Below are 7867 nucleotides of genomic sequence, written 5' to 3'. Positions count from 1 at the left end.
ACACACTCTCGCTCTGTTGCCGGGGCTGGAGTGCAGTGGTGCGATCTCAGTTCTCTGCAAGCTCTGCTTCCCAGGTCCACGCCATTCTCCCGCCTCAGCCTCCCGAGTAGTTGGGACTACAGGCGCCCACCACCACGCCCGGCTAATTTTTTGTATTTTTAGTAGAGATGGGGTTTCACCGTGTTAGCCAGGATAGTCTCGATCTCCTGACCTTGTGATCTGCCCGCCTCAGCCTCCCAAAGTACTGGGATTACAGGCGTGAGCCACTGCGCCCGGCCGAGACTCCTTCTCAAAAAAACAAAACAAAACAAAACAAAACAAAACAAAAGAAAGACAGACAATGTGGTATTGGCAAAGGAAGAGACAAATATATCAATAGAACAGAATAGAGAGCCTAGTAATAGTAATAGACCCACTTAAATACAGTCAAAGACAAAGCAGCAAAGTCAACATAATGGAACAAAGAAAGTATTTTCTACCAATGGTTCTGGAACAACTAGAAAACCACATGCCAAAAAAAAAAAAAAAAAAAACCACAACCCACCAAAAAAAAAAAAAAAAAAAACTCCTAGACACAGACTTACATCTTTCACAAAATTTAACTCAAAATTGACTAGAGACCTAAATGCAAAACTATAAAACTCCTAGAAGATAACGTGGGAGAAAATCTAGGTGACCTTGGGTTTGGCAATGACTTTTTAGATACAATACCAAAGGTACAATACCTGAAAGGAATAATTGATAAGCTGGGCCTCATTAAAATTAAAAGCTTCTGCTTTGCTAAAGATATTTCCAAAGGAACAAGAAAACAAGCCACACACTAGGAGAAAGTATTTGCAAGAGACACATCTGATAAAGGTATTCTCTGTATATTTTAAGTCAATACTTACTTAAATATTTTTTGTATTTTTAAATATTTACTTAAAATAGGCCAGGGGCAGTGTCTCACACCTGTAATCCCAGCACTTTGGGAGGCCAAGGTGGGTGGATCACTTGAGGTCAGGAGTTTGAGACCAGCCTGGCCAACATGGTGAAACCTCATCTCTACTAAAAATACAAAAATTACCCTGGTGTGGTTGTGCACGCCTGTAGTACCAGCTACTCAGGAGGCTGAGGCAGGAGAATTGCTTGAACCCTGGAGGCGGAGGTTGCAGTGAGCTGAGATTGCACCACTGCATTCCAGCCTGGGTGACAAAGGGAGACTCCATCTCAAAAAAAACCAAAAACAAATATTTACTATTTACTTAAAATATATAAAGAAGTCTTAAAATTTAACAATAAGAAAACAACCTCAATAAAAAATGGGTGAAAGATCTGAACTGAGACCTTATTAAAGAAGATATGCAGATGATAAGTAATCCTATGAAAAGGTGTTCAACATCATATGTCATTAGGGAATTGAAAATTAAAACCACACATCATTAGAATGGCCAAAATCCCAAACACTGACAGCACCAAATGCTGGTGAGAATGTGGAACAACAGGAACGCTCATTCTTTGCTGATAGGAATGCAAAGTGGTACAGTCACTTTGAAAGACAGTTTGTCGATTTCTTACAAAATGAAGCATGCTTTTACCATACATTCAATCGATCATGCTCCTTAGTATTTACCCAAATGAACTGAAAACTTATGCTTACACAAAAACCTGCAGACAGATGTTAATAGCAGGTTTATTTATAACTGCCAAAGCTGAAAAGCAACCAAGATGTCTTTTGGTAGGTGAATGGATAAGCTACGGTACATCCAGACAATGGAATACTATTCAGTACTAAAAAGAAATGAGCTATCAAGCCCAGAAAAGACAGGGAGGAAACATAAATGCATATTAGTACATTTAAAAAAAGCCAGTGTGAAAAGTTTACATACTGTACAAACTACAGTCATGGATTGCTTAATGACAGGGATACATTCTGAGAAATGCTTCATTAGGAGATTGTGCAAACATCGTAAGTTGTACTTACACAAACCTAGATGGTATAGACAATTGCTCCTAGCTACCAACCTGTATACATCATGTTACTGTACTGAATACTGTAGACCATTGCATTGTAACACAATGGTAAGTATGTGTGACTAGAATGTCATTAATCCAGCCCATGACTATATATGACATTCCTGAAAAAGCAAAACCATGGAGAAAGTGAATAGATGAGTGGTTGCCAAGAGAAGGATGAACAGGTGGAGCATGGAGGATTTTGAAGGCAGTGAAATTACCCTGTATGATACTATAATGGTGGATACATGTCATTATACATTTGTTCAAACCCACAGAATACACACGAATAATGAACCTTCATGTAAACTATGGACTTTGAATGATAATAATGTGTCTATGTAGATTCACTGTAACAAATGTACTACTTTGGTGTGGGATGTTTATAGTGGGGGAATTTGTGAATATGTGTGGACAGGGGATATATGCAAACTCTCTGTATCTCCAGCTTAATTTTGATGTGTCCCTAAAACTGCTCTAAAAACTAAAATGTATTAAATAAATAAGGGTGATATGTACATATGAGAGTACATATAACATTTTCCTATCCTCTCTCCCCATCTGTCCCCTCACTTTTCCCTCCTGGCCTGGCATCTCTTCCCTTGGTCCCATCCCTCACTTCTCACCACCTCCCCATCCTTTCTCTTGCTTTTCTGTTTCTCCTCCCACCTGCTCCCTCCCTTCATCCTCCTTGTTCCTACCACTTGCTTCTCCCCCACCTCCATCCTCTCTTTTGCTACTTCTGCTTCCACTTGCCCCCTTGCTTCTCCCCTCCCGCCCCTACCCACCTGCTTCTCACTCCCCCCATCCTCTTTAGTCTTCCCCTCATCCCCCCAACACCAGCCTCCTTCCTTCTTCCCCTGGTCCTGCCCCTTACTTTCCCAAGCCCTGCCATTGTTTCTACCTCCTTGCCCCTCGCTGCTGTCTGGCGGGGCCTCCACCCTTTATTTCCTTCAGTTTCAAATTCTTCAATCCTATCTTGTAAAAAAAAAAAAGAGAGAGAGAGAGTACACATGACATTAATTAGTCTTTAATATACCACCTGCTTTGAAATTGTCTTTTCTTCCTAATACATAGTGTTGAAATACTGGAACATTAAAAAATACAGAAATAGAATCTAATTTTGAGGCCCCCTTTGAGATCTTAAGGCTCAAACCTAAGGGTCTTGAAACTGACCCAATAGTCCCATAGACAGTTTTTTTTTGTATAAACATGGAAATTGACCCTTCTGGTCTTAAAGCGGAAACTTCGCATTATTTTATCTGAGTTCCTTCCTCAGGAAAGGGCCCCCAGGCCTCTCAAAAAGTATTGAAGAACTGAAACTCACCAGATCGTCTCATCCAGACAATGAGATGCCAGGCCTCTCATACATCATGAGTGCTTCCTTACCCCTCTGCTTTTCCTACCCATAGTTACATTTCTTCCCTGCTATGTAAGTCCCTAATTTTCGTTGGTTGGGGAGATGGATTTGAGACTGATCTCCCATCTGCTTGGCTGCAGCACCCGATTAAAGCCTTCTTCTTTGGCAATAATCATTTGGCAATAATTATTGTCTCAGTGGTTGGCTTTCTGTGTGGTGCACAGCAGGACCTAGAGGGAACCCCTGGTATTTTGGTAATGGTTTTCCAAACATCAGATGAAAACTCCAGGCCTCCTTTACCCTGTTTGGCTATTGGGGGGTTATTCATAATGCTAATTTCAAAAGTTGAAAGTGTTTTCCAATCAATTCTAGCTTTTCTAAGAACACATTATAAATCCAAATATTTCTCATTCTGGGAAAAGATAAAGTGTTAAAATTTATCCCACTTGATATATTCTTACTATATAGTCATGAAAATAAATGTATTAGAAATTTGTATTTTGACATTGTGTATTAGATAAATGTAATTGAAATGCTAGATCTTGAAAACGTAGTGGTTAGTGACAATACCAAGTTGTCCAGTATTATGTATAACATACCATTTTTGCATTTATTGATTTTTTTTAATGACATTATTTATGCAAGGTATAAAAACAACAGGAACTTATGGGGAAGGAAGAAGGAGAGTAGGTGGGATGCAAAGGGAAACATAAGGACTTCAACTCTGTTTTCAAGGTTTTCAAAATAATCTGTTATGAAATTTCTTCTGATTTTCTCAAAGGACCCTAAGCAGTAAAAGTTCCTTACCATTTGGTAGGGGAAGTAGGTGGAATCTTTTAGTTTAACTTGAACAGGATGGGCATTCTTTGCTCGTCCATATTGTCCTTCTGTTGCCCAGACTTCAGGATTAATTCCTTCCTCAAGCAGGGGAAAACAAATGGGTGTTCCTTCTCCTATGTTCAGGTGTCTAATGGCCCTTGCTTTTGCTAGAATGTCTCCCCCTAACAAGGGAGTGGGGCTTTCAGGCATAATTGGAAAAGCATGTGAAAAGAGTAAAGTTCTCCATTTACAACTTAGTGGCTGGGAGAAGTATCTAGTGACTGGCTGTCCTAGGACCCCTCGGATAGTGACAGATCTGGAGGACAGTTGTCCGGGACAGGAGAGTAAGACTGAGAAGGCCACGCCAGTGTCCAGGAGACAGTTAACCTCCTGGCCCTCAATGGTCAAGCATACCCAGGGCTCTGTGAGGGTGATGGCATGGGCTGGCGCTTGCCCTGGGCACCCTCAGTCCTGCTGCTGGATCATCTGGTTAGTGGCTTCTGACTCAGAGGACCTTCGTCCCCTAGGGCAGTGGGCCTTCCAGTGATTCCCTTGACATAAGGGGCATGGACGAGGGGGCGGCTTACTTCTACTTGGACAATTTTTTTAAAGTGCCCTTGTAGACCACACTGGAAGCAAGCCCTGTTAGGCATTTGATTTGCCCAGCTTTTCCCTTTCCCAGAGCCTCCAAAGTCTGCTTGCCTGAGGGCCATGACTAAAGCGATGGCCTTTTCTTTATCCCGTTTGTCCCGTTCCGCCTGCTCCTCCTGATCTCTATTATAAAAAACCAAGGTTGCCAAGTTCAATAGGGTTTCTAAGTTTTGCTCCGGGCCTAAGGTGGACTTTTGAAGTTTTTTTCCCAATGTCTGCAGCTGACTGAGTGATAAACTTATCCTTTAGGATTAGTTGGCCTTCAATAGAGTCAGGTGACAGGGAGATATGCTTCCTCAATGCCTCCCTTAGTCTCTCCAGAAAGGCAGTAGGATTTTCTTCCTTTCCCTGTGTTATAATGGACATCATTGAATAATTTGTAGGCTTAGGCCCAACAAGGACTCCAAAAAATTGTTAAGGACCTAAAATCGCAAGGCCTAGTAAAACCATGCAATAGCCCCTGCAATACTCCAATTTTAGTAGTACAGAAACCCAACGGACAGTGAAGGTTAGTGCAAGATCTCAGGATTATCAGTGAGGCCGTTGTCCCTCTATACCCAGCTGTCCCTAATCGTTATACTCTGCTCTCCCAAATACCAGAGGAAGCAGAGTGGTTTACAGTCCTGGACCTTAAGGATGCCTTTTTCTGCATCCCTGTACATCCTGACTCTCAATTCTTGTTTGCCTTTGAAGATCCTTCAAACCCAACGTCTCAACTCACCTGGACTGTTTTACCCCAAGGATTCAGGGATATCCCCCATCTATGTGGCCAAGAATTAGCCCAAGACTTGAGCCAGTTTTCGTACCTGGACACTCTTGTCCTTCGGTTCATGGATGATTTACTTTTAGCCGCCTGTTCAGAAACCTTGTGCCATCAAGCCAGCCAAGCACTCTTCAATTTCCTCGCCACCTGTGGCTACAGGTTTCCAAACCAAAGGCTCAGCTCTGCTCACAACAGGTTAAATACTTACAGCTAAAATTATCCAAAGGCACCAGGGCCCTCAGTGAGGAACGTATCCAGCCTATACTGGCTTATCCTCATCCCAAAACCCTACTAACTGTTGGATGTGCCTCCCCCTGCACTTCAGGCCATACATTTCAATCCCTGTACCTGAACAATGGAACAACTCCAGCACAAAAATAAACACTACTTCCGTTTTAGTAGGACCTCTTGTTTCCAATCTGGAAATAACCCATACCTCAAACCTCATCTCTATAAAATTTAGCAATACTATAGATAGAACCAACTCCCAATGCATAAGGTGGGTAACTCCTCCCACAGGAATAGTCTGCTTATCCTCAGGAATATTTTTTGTCTGTGGTACCTCAGCCTATCGTTTGAATGGCTCTTCAGAATCTATGTGCTTCCTCTCATTCTTAGTGCCCGCATGACCATCTACACTGAACAAGATTTATACAATCATGTTGCACCTAAGCCCTGCAACAAAAGAGTGCCCATTCTTCCTTTTGTTATCGGAGCAGGAGTGCTAGGCGGACTAGGTACTGGCATTGGTGGTACCACAACCTCTACTCAGTTCTACTACAAACTATCTCAAGAACTAAATGATGACATGGAACGGGTCACCAATTCCCTGGTCACCTTGCAAGATCAACTTAACTCCCTAGCAGCAGTAGTCCTTCAAAATCAAAGAGCTTTAGACTTGCTAACTGCCAAAAGAGAGGGAACCTGTTTATTTTTAGGGGAAGAATGCTGTTATTATGTTAATCAATCCGGAATCGTCACCGAGAGAAAGTTAACGAAATTCGAGATCGAATACAATGTAGAGCAGAGGAGCTTCAAAACACTGGACCTGGGGCCTCCTCAGCCGATGGATGCCCTGGATTCTCCCCTTCTTAGGACCTCTAGCAGCTATAATATTGCTACTCCTCTTTGGACCGTGTGTCTTTAACCTCCTTGTTAAGTTTGTCTCTTCCAGAATCGAAGCTGTGCAACTACAAATGGTTCTTCAAATGGAGCTCCAGATGCAGTCCACGACTAAGATCTACTGCGGACCCCTGGACCGGCCTGCTAGCCCATGCTCCGATGTTAATGACATCGAAGGCACCCCTCCCAAGGAAATCTCAACTGCACAGCCCCTACTATGCCCCAATTCAGCAGGAAGCAGTTAGAGCAGTCGTTGGCCAACCTCCCCAACAGCACTTGGGTTTTCCTGTTGAGAGGGGGAACTGAGAGACAGGACTAGCTGGATTTCCTAGGCCGACTAAGAATCCCTAGCCTAGCTCACACCCAACCAATCAGATAGTAAAGGGAGCTCACTAAAATGCGAATTAGGCAAAAACAGTAGGTAAAGAAATAGCCAATCATCTGTTGCCTGAGAGCATGGCGGGAGGGACAATGATTGGGATATAAACCCAGGCATTCGAGCCGGCAACGGCTACCCTCTTTGGGTCCCCTCCCTTTGTATGGGAGCTCTGTTTTCACTCTATTAAATCTTGCAACTGAAAAAAAAAAAATTCCTTACCATTTCCTGACCATTTAGTAAGGTAATATTTTCATCTGACTTTAAGTTGCATTTCCATTTCATCTGACTTTAGATTGCATGCCCTAATTATGGAATTCTGAAATTTGTGAATTTAATCTTTTCACTCTATCCTTACCATTGCGATTTTATGGGAGGTAGCCAGAAAGAGTTTATTCAGAGTTCATCAGACCTAGGGTTAAATCCTAGTTGTATCATTTGTTAGCTGTTTGGTGTTAAGCAAATTATTTAGTTCTGTTCTTTTGTCTGCAAAATGGTGGTAGCAAAAACATTCCTCTCTGGTTGGTGTGAGGTAATATGTAATAGTGGTATGGAAGTGCTGGGAAGGGAAGAGCATGGACCCTTTAAAGGATATGGAATGGGCGTGGGGGAAGGGAAGTGCTAGGTAGAGGAGGGCTTCGTCCCTGGCTAGGGCTCCACCCCCATGGACCTAAGTGAGGACAGGCATTTCCTGCCCAAATGTTGCATTTCCCAAGACCACCCTGGCCTGCCACAACCCCATCCTGTGCCTATAAAAACTCCCGAGACCCTAGCAGGCAGA

At 42.7% G+C, this 7867-nt stretch overlaps 1 annotated feature.

The window, feature by feature from the left end:
• Positions 7678-7857: a silencer, noted in NCBI's record as "fragment chr1:212028571-212028750 (GRCh37/hg19 assembly coordinates)". NCBI's record gives its function as "represses an EF-1alpha promoter that drives an FKBP-Casp9 reporter gene in an ReSE screen in K562 erythroleukemia cells {active_cell/tissue: K562}" and the evidence as "EXISTENCE:reporter gene assay evidence [ECO:0000049][PMID:32094911]".

Source organism: Homo sapiens, chromosome 1 (assembly GCF_000001405.40).
Source record: "Homo sapiens chromosome 1, GRCh38.p14 Primary Assembly".
Classification (NCBI taxonomy): Eukaryota; Metazoa; Chordata; class Mammalia; order Primates; family Hominidae; genus Homo; species Homo sapiens.
Note: the sequence above shows the minus strand (reverse complement) of the source record. Positions and strands in the feature narration are given on the sequence as shown.